At 37.4% G+C, this 21,694-nt stretch overlaps 1 protein-coding gene across 1 annotated transcript in view; it reads right to left on the reverse strand.

Moving 5' to 3' along the window:
* DYTN (dystrotelin) overlaps positions 1-21,694 on the reverse strand; it is a 66,776-nt gene that overhangs the window by 543 nt on the left and 44,539 nt on the right. Inside the window, exons 10-11 of the mRNA NM_001093730.1 lie at positions 13,707-13,866; positions 10,740-11,232 (exon numbers count right to left, since the gene is read on the reverse strand). Of these exons, the coding sequence (NP_001087199.1) occupies positions 10,740-11,232; positions 13,707-13,866 (653 nt within the window). The remainder of the gene's footprint in view (positions 1-10,739; positions 11,233-13,706; positions 13,867-21,694) is intronic.

Raw genomic sequence — 21,694 nt, forward strand, 5'->3', positions numbered from 1 at the left:
GCCAGAAAGCCCACTATTGAGCAGTGGCTCCAAAATTCTGTTGTATATAAAAATCACCTGGAGATTGTGAAAACAGATTTCTGGACCACACCTACAGAGTTCAGATTCTGTTCAGGTGGGACGGAGCCTGAGCATTTATATTTATTGTTAAGTTCCCAGGTGATACTGATGCGGCTAGTCCAGACACCACATTTTTGAGAACCAGTGCTCTATAGTTACCTGATTAATGGTTTGAGTGTCCCCTATGATCTGTCATAATAGGAATTGTGGTATAGAAAGATCTACAATTTGGCAGGTATCAACTAAAATTTTGATATGCATAATCTTTAACTTAAAGAGTTCTGTTTTTAGGAATTGATCTTATAAACATATTTACATTTGTGCATAAAGATATATATTATAAGGATACACACCAAAGTATTTTTGTGATAAAAATTGGAAGCAACTTAATTATATACCAATAAATAAATTATAGTGCATTTGTACCCTGAGATATTATGCAGCATTTTAAAAATGACATTGCTCAATGTCTAAGATATTGAACAAGTGAAGAAAGCAAAAGCATAGTATGATCTAACTTATGTTGAAAAAGTAAAGACATACATATGTGCATAGAAAATGGTTTGAAGGAAACTCACTAAGCTGTTAATAGTGGTTATCTCTGAAAAACAGGTGGGAGAGAGTGAAGAGCATGATGATGAATTCATTTTTTAAAAAATCTGTGCACTTTGCATTTTAATTTACAATAAACATACAGTATTACATTATTTGTGTAATTAATAAAAATAAGATCACAGGAAATGAAAACATGGGGAGATTTATTATGTTAGTTGTTTACTTTATAGCTACATAATTTATATTGTGGGTCCATCTGTGCTGTTTTTTGTTGAACATAAGGCTAGAGGGTTCATGCATTTTTTATCCCACTTATCACTCCAATACCGCTCCAGAGGACCTTGACTAAATAATATTTTATTGTCTGACTAACAAACCTTGTCCAGAGGCAAACTTATTTTAAGACATCGTTTCTCAGGCCACAGTGATAAAAACTTAAAATATAGCAATAAATAAATAGGAAAGCCATAATCAATCTCACATACTGTAATTTTTCTTATTGTTATTCATTGTTTTCTTTTTCAGCTTTAGTCTCTTGAAATATTAAAAATAGCCAAAAATATGCACCTAACACCTAGCATGTTGCTTGGCATATATTTGGAACTAAATAAATGTAAGGACTGAATTAATATAGCACATAGGCAGAGACCTAATGAGATGTTAGATGGAACACTTGTGAAATTGGCAGTCCAGAGAAAATCACAATGACAAAATAATTCACTTAAATGTAATTAAAAGTCTATCTAGTCTTCGAATAAATCAGGGATGTGAGAGTAGACTACAAGAATGATAGATGTAGAAATGAAAAAGTATTAGGTTTTTTAGTCTATGTTCACTCTTCTGGGCAACTGGAATACTGAGCCCATATCTTATTTACAATAATTAATTAAGCAAGCCAATATGTATTGAATAGCTACTCTGTACTAAGACCTTTCCCTTGAGCTCCAGATTGTACATGTTGATTGCCTCTGTGATGTCTTCATTTGGATGTCTCTCAGGCAATTCACAATACATTCAAAACAGAACTCTTGATTTGCCAACCGCATAACAGTTTTCCCAGCTTTCCCCATTGCAGTAAGTGCATCACCATCCATACAGGGCAACACCGTCATCTCTTGGCTAGACTGCAGTAGGCTTTTACCTGGTCTCTTTGCTCACCCCTTGCCTTTCTCTAAGTCACTCTCCACACAATGCCAGAATGTTTTAAAAATAGAAACATACCCCACTTCAAAATAAATGCCCAGTGCAAGCACAGTGCTTGGCACACAACAAATGCTTGATTAATATTTGTTGAATGAATGAATTAGCGATTGAATGATGAGCCAACTACACTTTTTTTCTGCCTTCATGGAGCTTAAATGCTGGAAATATATCTTTTCCCATTAATTACTTCTGTGTATATCTGTATCTCTATCTATCTATGAAGCAATGAATATAGTGAATCCTCGGACAACATGAATTTGAACTGTGTGAGCCAACTAATTCATGGATTTTCTTCTACCTCTGCCATACCTGAGAAAGCAAGAGCAACCCCTCCTCTGACTCCTTATTTTCAGCCTACTCAACGTGAAGATGATGAGGATGAAGATCTTTATGATGATCTACTTCCAGTTAATGAATAGTAAATATATTTTCTTTTCCTTATGATTCCCTTAATAACATTTTCTTTTTTCTAGCTTACTTTTTTGTAAGAATGCAATATATGATACAAATAACATACAAAATATTTGTCGATCAACTGTTTATTTTACTGGTAAGGCTTCTGTTCAACAGTAGGCTATTGGTAGTTAAGTTTTAGAGGAGTCAAAAGTTATATGCTGATTTTTGGCAGCATGGAGGGTCAGTGCCCCTAACTTTTACATTGCTCAAGGGTCAACTCTGTATCCATTACTATTCCAGTAAACACTTCTAGGACTCCCAGGCAACATTTGAGATTACCTTATAAACAAATGAAATACAAATAAGGTGCTCTCCTGAGCTTGGTCATTTCCTTAGAATTTGCTAAATTTGAAGTTTTATTTTCTGATTACTTGATACTTTTGAGTGATGGTTCTAGATGGGGAAAAAAGGAACAGGAATAAACCTCCTGCTCCCCACCCTTAACCATGCTCTCGTACATATAAGATCATGGCATATGCAAATAGAGATCTTTTTACTTGTTCCTTTCTGATTGGGATGCCTCTTCTTTCCTTTTCTTGTCTAATTACTCTGGCTAGGACTTCCAGTACTATGTTGAATAGATGTAGTGAAAATAAGCATCCTTGCTTTGTTCCTGATCTTAAAGAAAAAAACTTCAGCTTTTCACCTTTAAGAAAAAGGAATATGATGTTAGCTGTGGGTTTTTCTTATTTGGACTTTATTATGTGGAGATAATTTCTTTCTATTCCTAGTTTGTTGAGAGTTTCTCATGAGAGTGTATTGAATTCTGTAAAATGCTTTTTTCCTATATCTATTGTGATGATTGTGTGATTTTTTTTTTTTTTTTGAGACAGAGTCTTGCTCTGTTGCCCAGGCTGGAGCACAGTGATGTGATCATAGTTCACTGTAACTTTGAACTCCTGGGCTCAAATGATTCTCTTGTCTCAGTCTCTTGAGTAGCTAGGATTATAGGCATGTGTCACCATGCCCAGCTAAATTTTCTTTTTCTTTGAGATAGGGTCTTGCTCTGTCACCCAGGCTGGAGTGCAGTGGTGCAATCACAGCTCACCGAAGCCTTGATCTTCCAGGCTCAGGCCATCCTCCTGCTTCAGTCTCTTGAGTAGCTGGGACTGCAGGCACGTACCAACACATCCAGCTAATTAAAAAAAAATTTTTTTTTTTTTTTTTGTAGAGATAGGGTCTTGACAAGTTGCTCAGGCTGGTCTCAAACTCTTGGCCTCAATTGGTCCTCCCACCTCAGCCTCCCAAAGCACTAGGATTATAGGCATAAGCCACCACGCCTGGTCATTGATTTCTTCCTTGACCCACTGGTTGTTCAAGAATGTGTTGTGTAGTTTAACATCTCTATACATTTTTTAGTTTTCCTTCTGCTATTAATTTCTAGTTTTATTTCACTGTGGTTGGAAAAGATATTTGGCATGATTTCAATGTTCTTAAATTTGTTAAGACTTGTTTTGTGCATTAACATATGATCTATCCCAGAAAATGTTCCATGTTTGCTGGAGAAGAATGTATATTCTGCACTATTGGGTGAAATAGTCTTTATATGTCTCTCAGGCCTATTTGGTTTACTGTTTTCAAGTCTACTATTTCCTTATTGATTTTCTGTCTGGAGGTTCTAATCATTATTGAAAGTGGTTTATTGAAGTCCCCTACTATTATTCTATCACTGTCTATTTCTCCCTTCAGTTTTGTCAATAATTGCTTTATATATTTAGGTGCTCTGATGTTTGGTGTATATATTATAATAATTATAGTATCTTCTGGGTAAATTGACCCTTTTATCATTTTATAATGACTTCTTTGTCACTTGTGTGAGTTTTTGACTTAAAGTCTATTTTGTCTCATATAACTATAGCCACCCCTGCTATTTTTGAATACCATTAACATAAAATATCTTTTTCCATACCTTCATTTTCAGCCTTTGTGTCCTTAAATCTGAAGTGAGTCTTTTGTAGACAGCATATAGTTGGGTCTTTTTCTTCAATCCATTCAGCAACTGTATGTATATCTTTTGATTGGAGGCTTTAATCCATTTATATTTAATAATTATTGATAGGGGAGGACAATTTTGCCATTTTGAGAGTTGTTTTCTGTCTGTCTTTTAGTTGTATTGCCCCTCTTCTTCTAGTTTGCTGTCTTTTTAAAAAAATATTATTTCGTTTTTTTCTTTTGTGCATCTTTGACAGCTATTATATTTGCACTTACTATGAGGCTTATATAAAAATCTTATAGTAATAACAGCCTATTTTGGCTGATAATAACTTCACTTCAATTGCATTCAAAAAGTTTTCACTTTTAGTTCCCATACACTTTTCTAAATAGTCTTTTTTTTTTTTTTTGAGACGGAGTTTCACTCTTTTTGCCCAGGCTGGAGTGCAATGGCATGATCTTGGTTCACCGCAACCTCTGCCTCCCGGGTTCAAGTGATTCTCCTGCCTCAGCCTCCTAAGTAACTGGGATTAAAGGTGCATGCCACCACGTCCGGCTAATTTTGTAGTTTTAGTAGAGATGGGGTTTCTACATGTTGGTCAGGCTGGTCTTGAACTCCCAATCTCAGGTGATCCGCCCACCTCGGCTTCCCAAAGTGCTGGGATTATAGTCGTGAGCCATCTCGCCCAGCCATCCCCATACACTTTTCTTTTTGGTTTGTTTATTTTTATTTTGTTCATTGTTTCATTGTTGTTTTCATTTTAGAGATGGGATCTTGTTGTCTTGCCCAGAATGGAGTGCAGTGGTGTGATTAGCTCACTGTAACCTCAAACACCAAGGCTCAAGTGACCCTCCCTCCTCAGCTTCCTGAGTAGATATGACTATAGGCATGCGTCACCACACCACACATCTTTACAAAAATTTTTTGGTAAAGATGTGGTCTCACTATGTTGCTCAGGCATACTACCAGCTTCAAGCTAGTAACTGCTTGTTGAAACTACTAGCTTCAATCAGTTCCCTGACTCAGCCTCTCAAAGTGCTGGGATTACAGATGTGAGCCACCACATCCAGCCCACATTTTGTTACTGACATCACAATTTACTTATTTTTGTATTGTATATTCATTAACATATTTTAATGTTGTTTTTAATACTTGAGTCTTTTAACTTTCATATTAAAATTAAAATTATTTAAATACCACTATTTTCATTTTATAGTATTTTGTATTTGCCTGTATATATTTACCTTTACTAATGAGTTGTTGGATATAGTATTTTTGATTGATAGTTTATTTCTTCTTTCAGCACTTTGAATATATTATCCCATTTCTGTGAGATTTCTGATGCAAAAACTGTTATAATCTTATAAGGGTTTCTTTCTACATGATAAGTCACTTTTCTCTTGCTGCTTTCAAAATTCTCTTTTGTGTTTGACTTTTGACAATTTGGTTATAATGTGTCTCAGTGTTGAAGTCTTTCAGTTCATCTAACTCAGGGTCTGTTAGGATTCTTGGATCTGGACGTCCATTTTCTTTCCCAAATTTGAGAAATTTTTGCCCTTGTTTATTTGAATAAGCTTTCTGACCCTTTCTTTCTCCTCTGCTTCTACAACTCCCATATTACAAATATTGGTCAGCTTAATAGCATCCCATGCGTCCCTTAAACGTTCATCACTCTTTCTTCTTTTTTCCCTTCTTGTCAGATAATTTCAAATGATCTGTCTTTGGGTTTGCTGATTTTTCTGCTTGATCTAGTCTGCTGTTGAACACTTCTATTGAAATTTTTAGTTCAATTATTACATTCTTCAGCTCCAAGACTATTGTTTGGTTCTTTTAAAAATTTCTCTATCTCTTTGTTGAAATTCTCATTTCGTTCATGTATTGTTCTCCTGGCTCACTGAGCATTTTTATGATGGTTATTTTCAATTCTCTGTCAGGTAATTCAAATATTACTATTTCATAAGGGTCCATTTTGGAGCTCTTACTTCTTTGTTGGACTATGTTTCTCTATTACTTCTTCTTCTTTACTCTTTATTTTAGTATCTGTGCAATAGAAAAAATAACTATCTCTCTTAGTCTTCAAGACTGGCCTCATACAGAAGACCCTTAGCAATCAGCCTGGTCAGAGATTCTCGGGGGCTGTTCAAACGTTCATACTAGTCCCAGCTGCCTTTTGTTTTTAAGCATCTCTCAGGCATCTAGAATATGATGGGTTTTGTCAGTAATTTGAGACAGGTTAGACAGAAGCCCAGTCCCTTGGACAGCCCCCAGAAGAGTTAGAAAGTTGGATGAATGGTCCAATTGTTTCCCCCTGCAAAGTGAGAAGCTGGGATATGGGTTTTATTTTCCTGTTTGCTTTGCATTGAGCCTTTTGGAAAAGCTATGATAAGTGTTTTCATGCTAGTCCAAGATACCATCTTTGTTCTCAAACCATGCCCTCCTAATATCATCACTCTACTCCTCTGTCTTGACTTCTCATCAGTGAAACCTATAGTGGCAAATGAATAGTTAAAAAGGATGGAAAAAGAAGCTAGAAAAATAACTTAGTAGACATATGCAAGAAATTTTACTATCAAATGGAAAAAAATAGTTGAATAATACAGTAAAACAAGAGGACTTTTTTTTTTTTTTTTGCCACAGCAGAGGCAAGGAACAGCTGACACTTTTCCAAATTTATTTTTTACTGCAATTTTTATGCAAATTATTCACTACTGATTTTCAATCCAAGTTTGGAATTTAAAGAGGTTTGTGGAACTTCTACACAGTTTTCTCTTTTCCGTTAAGTTCTCACAGTCTCTTTTTTTTTTTTTTTTTTTTTTTTTGAGACGGAGTCTCACCCTGTCGCCCAGGTTGGAGTGCACGGGCGCGATCTCAGCTCACTGCAAGCTCCGCCTCCTGGGTTCAAGCCATTCTCCTGCCTCAGGCTCCCGAGTAGCTGGGACTACAGGCTCCAGCCACCACGCCCGGCTAATTTTTTTTGTATTTTTTAGTAGAAACGGGGTTTCACCGTGTTAGCCAGGATGGTATCGATCTCCTGACCTCGTGATCTGCCCGCCTCGGTCTCCCAAAGTGCTGGGATTACAGGCATGAGCCACCACGCCGGGCCCAACAATTCTCAAAAAAAAAAAAAAAAAAAAAAAAAAACTGGATCGGTAGGGTGATTAGAAACTTCTTGCTATTATCTGATGCATCCATGATAGAGATAGAGGCAAACGAAAATACTTTGATTTTGCTTGTTTCACTTTCCACATCTTCATCCATGTGGTTATCATAGTTCTGGCTCTGATTAAGTTTGGTATACTTTTAGTAAGTATGCATAGATTATGTTTAAATTATAAAGCGTATTTTAGTAATCCAAATTGCCAATGGCTAAGTGAAGTTTGAAAATAGGATCATATTCAATATCAAATTGAATAACGATATAAACATAATTAGAAATAATTGGGTGAGGAGTGATATATAATGCAAAACGGTAGCCATGAAGATTAATATAGTTTCTCATGTTTAAATGCCTTAAGGAAATAAGACTAATATAAAAGAAGGGAAAGTGAAATTTTAAATCTCAACAATTAGTATTTGTTGTATTACTATTCAAGAAATTTTATGTTTTCTATACTTGCAAAGTATAAAGATGTGTACTTTTTTTCTTGCAAAGAAAAAAAGATGTGTACCATTCTGCTCATATCATAAGCACATTTATATAATAAGGCATACTTCCTGCAGAAACTTCTCAATGGTTCTATTGAGATTGTGAGTGAAAGCATTAAGTAAATATTTTGAGACTTTTAAAAATATTTTCTACAAGATTTGATAATGCTAATTGTATATTTATACATTATTGCATCAACTGAATTTAGAAGTATACTTCACCTTTTTATAATTTTCCTTTTAATGATATAGTGATGCATGTATATTTATATCTTGATAAGGTCCCTTGAACTATGAATGAATCTTTTAGCTTTAAGTATTAAACTGCACAAGTATTGGGATACTGCCTTCCAAATATGTGTAGTAGACCTAGCCTACAAACAATCTAAAATGTGCAATAAAGCTACTACATCTGTGAGGGCTGACCCAACACAATATTTTAGAAATTATCAGCTTTCTCCAGCTCATTTAGAGAAACAAAAATAAAAAATAAAAACAACATGAATACGCTAAAGACTAAAAAACTTTTCTATAAAGTCCAAACTTTTGGTGAAATTTTCCTAAAAAGGTCAAGTGGATATTGACTTCGCTTTGAATACTCATCATGACCCCAAAAATGTTTAGATGGAAATGCAGTGGGTGGAATTTTGCGTCAGCTTAAGAATCAGCACAAGCAGTTCCCATCCCTTGCCTTTTGAGCATACTTCTGGCATCTTTCTGAACTTGTTTTTGTTAATACAAAGATTATAACTCCAACTCAATTTACTGTAGAGTATTTTAGAATCGCCGAATAATTAGTTTATTGACTTGGTTCTACCAAGTTCTATGCAAAGCTGACATTATTATGTACTCGGTTTATAGCCCTCCAACACTTATGGGCTGAAATGTGCCCCCCTCCTACCCCAAATTTATATATTGAAGGCCTGACTAACCCCTAGTGCCTCAGAATGTGACTGTATTTGGAGACAGGGTCTTTAAAGAGATAATTAAGTTAAAATGAGGTCGCTAGGATGAGCCCTAATCCAATATAACTGGTGTCCTTATAAAAAGAAAAAATTTGGACATAGACATAGACATACATAGAAGGAAGGCCATATAAAGGCATGAGGGAAGACAGCCATTTGCAAGCCCAGGAGAGAAGTCTCAGAAGAAACCAACACTGCTGACACCCTGATCTTGGACTTCTGGCCTCCAGGACTGTGAGAAAATATATTTTGGTTCTTCGTTTAAGCCACTGAATCTGTGTTACTGTGTTATAGCAGCCCCAGCAAACTAATACGCCAACTCAGAAATATTTTGAGAAGGCCTCCTCTGATGCAAAAACACATGAGTATTTTATCCTTCATTTTATCACAAGTCTGTAGATGATCACTCCAACATAAGACAACTTAAGCTTTCTTAGAAAGAAATTTATATATAGTTGACCCTTGAACAATACAGGTTTGAACTGTATGGGTTCAAGTCCACTTATATGTGAATTTTCTTCTGCCTCTGATACTCCTGGGACGGCAAGACCAACCCCTCCTCCTCCCTCTTCTTCTCCTCAGCCTACTCAACATGAAAATAATGAGGATGAAGACCTTTATAAAGATCCACTTCCACTTAAATATATTTATCTTTCTATGATTTTGAAAACATTTTCTTTTTTCGAGCTTTATTATAGCAGTATATAATACATATGACATGCAAAGTGTGTGTTAATCAACCGTTTATGTTCATTGGTAAGGCTTCCAGTCAACAGTAGGCTATTAATAAAGTTTTGGGGAGTAAAGTTACATGCGAATTTTCAACTGTGCAGGGGGCCAGCACCCCTAATCCCTGCATTGTTCAAGAATCAACTGTGTATGTGTGTCTATAAATAGTTCCTGACTTATGATGGATTGACTTACTATTTTTTAAATTTTATGATGGTGCAAAAGTGATATGTGTTTAGTAGGAAATAATACTTCAAATTTTGAATTTTGTTCATTTCCCAGGCTAGCAATATGTGGTATCTTGTGAAGTAGGGCAGCAGCAGTGAGCCACAGCTCCCAGTCAGCCACATAATCACAAGGGTAAATGATCAGTAGTCTACTCCACAGTGTATTATATTTAATGACTTACATGATATATTCAACACTTTATTATAAAGTAGGCTTTGTGTTTGATGATTTTGCCCAATTATAGGCTAATGTAAGTGTTCTGAGCACATTTAAGGTAGGTCGGTTAAGCTATAATGTTTGGTAGGTTAGGTATACTGAATGCATTTTCTACCTAACAATATTTTCAACTTACATTGCATTTATCAGATGTAACCCCATTGTAAACTGAGAAGGATCTCTCTCTACATATGTAAAGATAACAAAATACCCTAATGAGAAATAAGACAATGGCACTCCAAAACAGAAGCAGTAACTACAGTAAAGAAGGATCTTATCTAAAGCCTTCAGAATTTAGCAATGAATCATAGCTTATGCAGAAGATAATAATGATAATACTACTTATAACATAGAAACTGCAATCAATTCTCTTCTAGAAAGAGAGTTACAATATTATCACCATTTTTAAATGGTGACATAGGCTGCCCAGTTATATATGATTTAGGGATACTGATAATAATAACAATATTTTGCAATAACAAAATAATAAAGCATTTACTGAATGCTCACTATATGCCAGGTTCTATACTAAAGTCTTACATGGTTTATCACCTTTAATACTCACAACAGACCTGTGAATTAGGTAATCCTAAAAATCAAGTTCAGAGATGCTACTGATAACCAATAGATTCAGAGCACTGCTACATACTAGATGAACTGGAGCTGTTGGGCTGTTATAAAATCAAGTTTTTAAAAAGGCAGCTTGAATCCTTGGCCATCACGATGTCTATGGATTGTGAAAACCTTACCTGATGGCGTTTCTAGATTGAAGGCATCCATAAGTTTTGACAATAGTTCTTGCAGTTCCTCTTCCTCCAGCTCATCCTTTCTCTCCTTGATGTTACCTGCCTCTTTCTTTTCCACGGCTGCCAGAGCAGGACTGCTCATTTCAGCAGGAACCATTTTGGGGATGTCCTGCTTCAGTCCCTCCTGATAACTGGGTAGGGCACTAATGACTTTCTGTGGCATCTTTTGTGTTTGGCTTTGTGCCCTGGTGCTGTGCAAAGTGGTCTCTGGTGATTCTGGATTTCGCAGAGCATGCTCTGCATTTGTGTGACTTCTGTGACTTCTGTCAACCTCATCAAGCTTAGGAAGAGGTTCCCCTGTTGAAGCATCTTCAGTGGCATTCTTGATCTGCAAATAATCCCCTCCCTTTGGAACCTTTTCAGTTGAAGAATGGTCAACCTTGTTCCCCACATTTTGAAAGGAAGAAGATGAAGGACCGGGTGGCTGCAACCTTGCCTGGGGAAACAAAACTTTATTTATGAAGAAATTAATGTTTATCTTACTTTTTCATAAATGCATTACATTTCAACATTCCAACAGAACATTCTAATGCAAGACTTTTCTTTCTCCTCTGTAAATATATTATCATTACTATTAATTTTAATTTATTCTGCTAATTCTATGTCAACCTAAAACTCTCTACAAGAGCTGGAACAGCTCAGATTCTAAAATAACAGAGGGAATAATTACAAGAAATTTAGGAAAATTCTGGGTTCTAAAAAGCCCAAGTTCTAAAAATACCATAAGGAATTTCTGAAAACATAAGCATATGTTGAATTGACAGATAAAAATTATCACAATAAAGCATTTTATAATAGTCTTTCTGGTAGGTGTGTTGTGAAGGGTTTCACAGTAAGCCACAGGGAGAAAATCCAGGGATGTGCTCCGCTTGAAGCACAGTTCTCATTGTGTGGCCCACAGACCCTAGGAGATCCCCAAGACCCTTCTAGGGTTTGTGATGTCAAAATTATGTTCATAAGGATACTTAGATGTTATTTGTTTATTGTATTGACATGTGCACTGATGATGCAAAATCAATAAGTAAAGCTGTTGGTGCTTTAGTGTGAATCAAGGCAGCATCACCAAACAGTGCTAATAATCAGGGTATTCTTCACCCTCATACACTAGCAGTGGAAAAAAAAAAAAGCCAGTTCTGCTTAAGAACACCTTTGATGGAATAGAAATAGTTCTTAGTTTTAAAAATATGAACACATGTCTTTTAAATATTATGTGTGATGAAGTGGGAAGTGTGCATAAGACACTTCTGATGTGTACTGAAATATGAAAGGGTTGCCTCTTGTGTCAAAGAAAGACTGACAGACTATGGTTATTCAGACTTGGGTATTTGTCAAACAGTTTCTCAAAAATGAACAAAGCGAGAATGTCACTGCAAGGAGAACAATTAACAGTATTTGCTGTCAGTTATAACAGTTAAGGCCGGGCGCAGTGGCTCATGTCTGTAATCCCAGCACTTCGGGAGGTAGAGGTGGGAGGATTGCTTGAGGCCAGGAGTTCAAGACCAGTCTGGACAACATAGTGAGACCCCCTCCCTACAAAAAATAAAAATAAAAATTAGCTGGGTGTGCTGGCATGAGCCTGAGATCCTAGCTAGCCACGAGGTTGAGGCGGGAGGATTGCTTGAGCCCCAGGAGTTCGAGGCTGCAGTGAGTTATGATCCTGCCACTGTACTCCAGCCTGGATGACAGAGCAAGACCCTGTCTAAAATGTATATTTACATACATAAAAAACAGGCTTTCAGTCAAAACTTAGAATTTTGGAAAACTTGCATCCTACCACTATGAGCTTGATAGCTTTCCAATTCTTAGGCAATTTTGTAATTACATTGGCAGTGACATTAATGAACGTGAATTTTTTTCACCCAGTATCATAAAATGGATGAGCATTAGGACATTCAGTATAGCTCAGTGAACCAATATTTTCCAAATGACCAATGTATAATGTTACACAATCATGCGTGGCTAAGAGACCCACTTAAAGACCATGTAAGAACACTGGATTTTAATGAAACAGCGTGACATAAATATGGTTTCAGATTAAAGTCTCCTTTAAGAAGCTGTCATGTATCATGTTTTGGTGTAGTATTAAAGAGAAGTATGCCTCGGTATCTGAAAGGCTATTAATATACTTCTCTCTTTTTCACCTGCAAATCTGTGTGAGGCCTGATTTCTTCAGATACTTCAACCGAAACACATTGCAGCAGATTGATTGCTGAAGTGGTTACAAAAATTCAGCTGTCTTTTATTAAGCCAGGTATTTAAAGAGATTTGTGGAAAATATAGAGCAATGCCACTCTTCTAAGGTTTTTAGAAAAACATATTGTTTAAAAATGTTATCTGTATATTTAATGGGTTTATTATTTTTATGTTTTAGTTAGTGAATACATTTTAACTTCTCAGTTTTAATTTGCATTAATTTTATTACTTATTTAATTTATTTAACAACTCAGTTTTAATTTTCAGTAATTTTATTATTTATTTAATTTTATTTTATTATTAATTTAATTTTCATTCATTCATTTTCATTTTGTTTCTGTGGTTATATCTATAACAACAGATATTGATGCAAAAAGATATAACCACAGAACCAAATTCCCCTCGGGGTTCTCAAATATTTTTAAGAATGTACAGGGATCCTGAGATCAAAAGGTTAAAAAACCGACGCTATAAAGAATCACTTTGCCCCAAAGTCTATTGTTTGTAAATATTACAGATCCTGTTGTTTTTCAATGGCACTGCCTTCATGGAGGGATAGGATATAGCCTGGATGAGGAAATGGGAGGTCAGGGTACGGGGAGAAGAGGCAAGGGAAGAGGCTGATCAAAGTAAGGTGGGAAGCTCCTCCCTTGGCTGAAGGACTCAAGGTTAGACTTCCAGGCAGTCCAGATGGCCAGTGTCCCTCACATTTTATACCTGTAGGTCCCGTCTTATCTGTTGTAGCTTGGTCCATAGACTATCCTGGTTGGTTTTGAGTTTGTGAATCCTTGTTTCAAATCGACAAATTCTTTCTTCCTGGGAGGTGTATATAGCTTGCAACTTGTCTTTGTATTGGTTTAACTGTTTTTTAAGGAGCCTGAAAAGAGAACAGATTTGAGCGGTTTGGAAGGGCAAGAGGCCAGTACACTAATTAGAGCCCTGGTAAGATGTATTCCGGTCCTTTTTGTGGGAAAAGATGCTGGAAAACCCTGTGTCTCAACTGTGTTTTTTGTTGAGATGGAGCCTCGCTCTGTCACCTAGGCTGGAGAATGCAGTGGCGCGATCTTGGTTCACTGCAACCTCTGCCTCTTGGGTTCAAGTGATTCTCCTGCCTCAGCCTCCTGAGTAGCTGGGATTACAGGTGCACACCACCATGCCTGGCTATTGGAAAACCCTGTGCCTCAACTGTTATCTCACATTGATCAATATTGTTGACACTGTTTGTTCACCATGTGCAGCTGCCTTTGTGTGTATTATGGATATGATTCTACTAAGCATTCCACTGGCTTTAGAAGTATTTCAGAAAACTCACCACGCATATTACAGATTACTTTTGACAGCTTCCCTCTACTGGCTACTTAAATAGGAATATTGACTTTATACACTATCCTTTTGTCTAGAAATACTCCATTCAGAATGAAAGTACACCCGTCATGGCTAAACACCCAACACTTGACCAGGAACACAGGGGAGGAAGAATATTGCAGTTCATGGATTGTAGGTCTGCTTTGGCTTCTCTTTTTGTCTAGTTGTTCATTGGTTTAAGAATGAACCAAGAAGTTGGGTGCACTCACTCATGGGTGTGCGTGTGTGTGTGTGTGTGTGTGTGTGTGTGTGTTATCTTAGTGCTTTAGGAGGCCAAGTTGGGGTATCCCTTGAGGCCAGGAAATTGAGACCAGCCTAGGCAACATGGCAAGACCTCATCTCTACACACACACACACACACACACACACACACACACACAAATTAGCTGAGTGCGGTGGCACCTGTAGTCACAGCTACTTAGAAGGCTGAGTCAAGAGGATCACTTGAGCCCAGGAGTTAGAGGTTACAGTGAGCTATAACTGCACCACTGCTCTCCAGCCTGGCTGACAGAGAGAGACCCTGTCTCTAAAAAAATATGAACCAAGTAGTCAAGGTAATCAGGGCAATTCTTTAAAACAAAAGTCAAGCTATGTTGCTCTTCTGCTCAGAACCCTCCAGGGGCTCCCTCTTCATTTAGAGTAAACAAAAGTCCTTACAGAGGTGGACAAGCCCCACAAAGACGGCACAGACCCCCCTTCCCTCTCTGACCTCATCTCTTGCTTTCCGGCTTATTCACTGCCCTGTGGCCATATGGAGCTCCTCGCTCCTCTTTGAACACCCCAGGTCTGTTCCCCACTTAGAGTCTGCTCTTCTGCTCCCTCTGCCTGGATGCTGTTTCTTCCCCAGCTCATTGCTCAGTTCCCTCCCCAACCTCCTTCAAGTCTTTGCTCTCAAGGCGCCTTTTCAGTGAGGCATTATCTGACTGCCCTACTTGAATACAAAAATGACAACCCCAACCTCTCCTCCAGCATGGCCAAACTCTTCCCTTCTTTACTTGTCTCTGTGGCATTCTGCCATGTCTAATTACTACAGAGCCTGAAGAGTCCAGCCTTCAAATTTCTAGACAGCCATACACTGTGACAGACTATGGGCTTTGCTTATTATTTTACTTATATATTACCTACTCTACTCCTTAATTAATTGCTTATTGTCTATTTATTCTGGCAACTTTGCGTGTGCGTGTGTGTGTGTGTGTGTGTGTGTGTGTGTGTGTTGACATGTCTTCTGGATCAGGCCTAAAATAGTTCCTGTCATATAGTAGGTTTACAACTAAAATTGTCTAAATAAAGTAATTTTATTTGATCACTGCTGTTAGCATATTTGTGGAATTTGTGGAAATTGGCTGTCTGGTATGAAATGCAACATTTCTCAGTGTTAGAACCTGCGAAATTCCTAATTGCATAGAGCTTGGGGAGGTCTTGAAATTTAGTTTGGGCTCCCATGCAAAGCAGGCATCTCTGAAAGATAGCCCTCTAACTTCCAGACAGTCACACACAGGTGAAACAGGAGTCTGACTCTAAAATCCTTGCTCGTAATTGGAGTTTCAGGTATATCTTTATGATGGGTTTCTCAGAAAGGAGTCAGCCCAGGGATTTTACACAGCCAACAACAAAAAAACATTCTCAGACAGCCTGTCTAAACAGTGTTCTCTGGACCCAAAGTGTTGTGCTTGTTATGACCACTAACGATGTCAGGCTCTCTCTTTTCCTCATGTTGTCCACCACCCATGTCTGCTTCCTCCACTCTGGCCTATCCACCAGGTCTGGACAACTAGAAGACATAAATCCCTATCCTTCCACAATCCAGGTGAAAGAAGGTAGGACTCTGTCAGAAATCCAGTTCTTTTCTTCTTCTGCTTCTTTTTAAAGAAGAGATGCTTATGGGTTGTTTCTAGTAAATACAAATCACCTGGTGCCAATATTGCCAGCAACTGGGAGCCCAGGACTTTCCAGGCAATTATCTACTCATAACAAACAATTCAGGTTATCTAAGAAATAATTCCTTTCAAACGACATAAAATCTGCCTTTCTATACTTTTATATCTTTATCTGTATTCCTGCTTTCTGGTGGAGGCTAAGCAGCTTGAATCTCCCATGTATTAACTGTTCAAATGAAAACACGAATACTCCCTAGGCAAGCTAATCATGCCCAAAGCAGTTAAATGTTATTTAATTTGTCCATTACTGATATGGTTTGGCTGTGTCCCCACCCAAATTTCATCTTGAATTGTAATCCCCATAATCCCCACGTGTCAAGGGCAGGACCAGGTGGAGGTAATTAAATCATGAGGGCAGTTTTCCCCATGCTGTTCTCATGATAGTGAGTGAGTCTCACGAGATCTGATGGTTTTATAAGCATCTGGCGTTTCCCCCGCTTGTCCTCACTCCATCCTGCCACCCTGTGAAGAAGGTGTCTGCTTCTCCTTTGCCTTCCACCATGATTGTAAGTTTCCTGAGGCCTCCCCAGCAGTGTGGAACTGTGAGTCAATTAAACCTGTTTGCTTTATAAATTACCCAGTCTCAGGCGTTTCTTCACAGCAGTGTGAGATTGGACTAATAAATTTACCTAGCACAGTGTAGACTAATAATAGATAACTAGTAATTGAATAGTACTCTTTCTGTTAATGTGTCTGAGACTGTTGCTTTTAAAATAATCAGTGACATAATTGACTATCAGTGAACTTGCAGTTAACTACCACATATATCACAGGTCTTTTTCACACTACTTGTGCACATGGGCCTCCAATTGTGGGACTTTAATCCCTTAAAATTTGGTCTTTATTAACTGCCTCACTATTCCAGTCTATTACATCTCAGTGATCCAAGACTGTAATTCAGTTTATTACCTAGGGGTTTTGGTATCATGTCACACACACATTTGAGAATTGGGCTGTCTACAGTTTCATCCAAATTATTGATAAAAATGATGGTGCAGACAGGAACAAAGATGGAGCTTCATGTTTTATTTCATTCAATAATCAGCCTTACACTTTGGTACACTTTGTAGTGATAAATACTTTAGCAGTATACAAATGCTGTAAATAGTAGACATGGATTATATCAAAGGGAATATTTAGTTTAAAATGATTCATTTTAAATAATCATTTTAAGAAGGTAAGTTAAAAAAACTAAATTTTAAAATTTGCTTTTATTTCTACATTTTCAATTTTAATATAGCCTTTCTAGTGCTTTACTGCTTTAAAAATGTTTTCTAATTTCTTTTTCTTATTCCATGAAAAAGATGAAAACTACTTTTAATATTTAAATTATTTTGATACTTTAAAAGTGTTTATTGAACTCCTTTTCCTGAGTTATCACAGAATTTAGAAAATGTTTTATTTCTTCTGTACATTTAGATTAGGAAGCATATCTCATCATACATATATACATAGAATTGCTAGTTTATTGGACATGTACTGGATATTAAGTATTGTGCCTGAAAACAAAGGTCTTCCCTCAGGGGAAACTTCTTACTGGGGAGCCAGGAATTCTGTCTTCTAAAGGAATAACAGCAGGAGCTAAGAGCTCAAGAGATGATTAGTTCCTTAAGACACAATAAGAAGATGATAGACAGTTTCCATTCAGCCTAATAAACCTAGTAGAAAGTTAGAATGCTGTTGGATAACAAGTACTGATTTCTTTAGAAGAAGGTAAAACACATACATAACACAAGATATACACAAGAATCAATACTTCACTAAAAGTGCTTAACTAAATTCCAAGGAATAAAATCAGGCAATCGAAAGTCAAAACTTACTTAGCCTGGTCATTTTTGTTATGCTTAACTACTCAAATACAGTCAAAGCTCCCTTTAACCTTCATATTGGAATCACAGGATTTCTTGGCTTAAAATTTTCTCCCAAATTAAAAAAAAATGGTAAAATTTTTGTAGAAAATTTTTCTCTAAAAGCAAAGGAAATGCTATGGATTTCTCTCTGTGGTCGGTATTTGCACATACTCATGTGGCTCCTATCTTCTTTCTCTATGGAGAGCATTAATGGATTCATGAGTCCTCGGCAGTTCATTCCTAGTGCTGACCATGGTCTAGAGAAGGAAGAAATAAAAAAATAAGTTTTTGGTTTGAATTTAATCCACATCCTAAAAATCCATATAAGAACATGATAATTATGTTTTTCAAAGAAATTCAATCTATTTCAAAAAGTGGCTGCTGTTTGGGTTTACATTCGTGTATGATGACGCAGATGTTTACATGCTCAAAGTACAACTGCATATCCAATTTCACAAAAGAAGTTAAAACAGTTTTAGGTTTTAGAAATAACGTCACAATAGTCTTTTGCTCAAGTTAAGTTGCTACCCTGAATGTCTTCTTCCCCAAAGGCATCTACAGGAAGCAGTTGAGTCACTTTCTTTCCCTTGGCTTAGGAAGTCTCTTACTTCTACCATACACCTTTAACTTTCACTTTCTTGTCTTTCCTTTGCTTGCTACCTGCGTGTGCACTAAAGTCATCATTTCTTTTCAAATCCACCAAGTGTTTTGAATAAATAATGGTCAACTTGGCTGTCACTTAGGAATTCCCCACCAAACCTTGTCTCTTACATCACACTCTGCGCCCTGAACTGCAACCCCAGGACAAGTTCTGACCTGACCCAGTCTGGCCCAGGCTCCTGGGGCACCATGTTCCAGCCCTTGGCTCCCACACATCGGAATGAAAGATTGGATTTCATTACACTCCATTTATAAACAGCTGTGGCTACAATCTGCAGTCTTCTCCCATCCCTGCAAATGATCTGAAGAGGGGCTGGCCATTTTAGGAACATTGTTGCACAGGAACAGCCTGAAAAAGCAAAAGGGCAGTAGCAGGAAGAAGAAACTGAACTATATACAGACTTAAAGTCGCATTCTCTGGTTGCTGTGTGCCCTTTGCAGCCCCTTTGAGTGAAATGTGCCACTGCCTCTTCATTCAAATACTTAAACAGCTTCCACGTGCATAGCATAGTCTTTGAATCAGCGAACTTTACATTATTTTTAAAATAATTACAACTCAAATAATAATTGCAGAATATCATGGCTTTGTAAAATGACTGTACTCTCATAAGCCATTGTTTACCTCTATTCAGTCTCTATATATGGTGGAGATAGAGTAGGAAAAGTGTATACATATGCTATAAACTTATTTATGTGTTCTAACACTTAGGGAGAACAATGAAAAACCTTAAAATTCTCAAATAACTCAGTGATTTAATGTATATTGTTAATATGAAGAAAATCTTTAAAAGAATTTCTTGCACCAGTATTATGTGGTACATATTTTTCTGCAATTGAGAAGCATTTCAGGTTAGTGCAAATGGTGGTATATCCATAGAATAGACACTATGGTTTATTTAGTCATTCGCAATGAAAGCATAAGCTGTTTCCAATATTTCAAAATCTTCAAAATGAAAAGCAATGCTGTAGTAAACATAGCCGTATGTGCCTCCTTGTACACATGTGCAAGGTTCTTGGGTTTTAAGTTTAATAGACACTATCCATTTGCCCCTTTGGGCAGGTGCATGCGCGTACACACATACACACACACTCACACACTTGAAAATGCATAGAAAAAGATCTGCAAAGATATACTTCAAACAGATTACCTCTGGGGAATTAGGGACTGGACCTGGGTTGAGAATTATGGTTGAAAAGGACCTTAGATTTATTTATAATATTTTAACTTCTTATACGTCAAACAGATTCATGTCTTATTTCTATGAAGTGCATTTTTTAATAAAAATATGTTATATACCTAAGATAGGATGTAGCAACTTTAATAATGAAGGTGAGAGGGAAGTAAAAGAAAAGTGAAATAAAGGAACAAAACAGCTCTTAAATTTCCTCCCTCAGAACAAATGGATGTTACAGTGAAGAAAAGCCTGAATTGTGAATGTTTTTCCATCCTCGTTTGTTTGAAGCAGGAAATAGAGTAGCTCCTTATTTGTCCTCATACATCAGTCCAGCTCTCTGTCGCACACTCTAGCATGATGCCTGTGTCTTGGCAGGTGTCCCATGAGGGGTGTCTCCTGGTGTCCCAGTCTGTATGAGCTGATGAGTAAAATGCAGACAGGCCCAATAAAACATCACACACAGGTGGCCACTTGTCACTGGATGGTCACAAGACTTACTCTCCACTCACACTTAACTGCAATACGGAAACTCCAGTTTTTCTCTGACTATTACAGATGACCATATTCTGAAAACCTTTCTTAAGCTCAGACTGTACTGATTATGATTGCACGAAAGCTTACAAGTGGAGTTACACATGTGGGGGCAAATAAACAGCTGATTGAAAACATGCTAAAGTATTTGCAGAATGTACACTTAAAAAAACATAGCATTTCTAATCTCTTTGATGAAAAAACTTCACTGGTATTTTTAAAGTTCACTCCCCCATCTTATTTTTCTTTTTTAAAAAAACTTGCATTTTGAGTTCAGGGGTACATGTGCAGGATGCACAGGTTTGTTACGTAGGTAAATGTGTGTCATGGGGGTTGCTGTACAGATTATTTCATCACCCAGGTATTAAGCTTAGTTTCCACTAGTTATTTTCCTGATCCTCTCCCTCCTCCCACCCTCTGCCCTCCAGTAGGCCCCAGTGTGTGTTGTTTCCCTCTATGCAACCATGTGTTCTCATCATTTAGCTCCCAAGCTCCCACTTGTAAGTGAGAATATTTCTTTCTTATCTCTTCCCTTTTTAAAATTTCTGAACATTTTACTGACATATGCATGCATTGGTTCTCCTATTTTTTATTTTTTTATTTTTGAGATGGAGTCTTGCTCTGTCGCCTAGGCTGGAGTGCAATGGCACAGTCTTGGCTCACTGCAACCTCCTCCTTCTGGGTTCAAGCGATTCTCCTGCCTCAGCCCCTCCAGTAGCTGGGATTACAGGCACGCACCACCACACCCAGCTAATTTTTGTGTTTTTAGTAGAGACGGGGTTTCACCACATTGGCCAGGCTGGTCTCGAACTCCTGACTTCATGATCTGCCCACCTCGGCCTCCTAAAGTGTTGGGGTTACAGGCATGAGCCACCACGCCTGGCCGGTTCTCCGATTTTTTAAAATAACCTAAGATCTTATGATACTGAGTTGGCAAGTTAAGGCCCTCTGGGCAGAAGGAAGCCTTATCTGTAAGTTATAATCAGAAGTCTTGGGCAGAGACTTCATATCTATAGACACTGTAGTAGTTTAAAGATGACAGGGTTGAATGCAACCTATCTTAGAAATGGTCCCCTCAAAGCTGAACTTTGTCCGCTAACGTGGTAAACAACACAGTTCATTGGTTGCATATCAGAGGTGGCACATATTGTTGTGGTTAGAATTGCCCATTCTTTTGGGACAACAGA

This window comes from Homo sapiens, chromosome 2 (genome assembly GCF_000001405.40).
Source record: "Homo sapiens chromosome 2, GRCh38.p14 Primary Assembly".
Taxonomy (NCBI): Eukaryota; Metazoa; Chordata; class Mammalia; order Primates; family Hominidae; genus Homo; species Homo sapiens.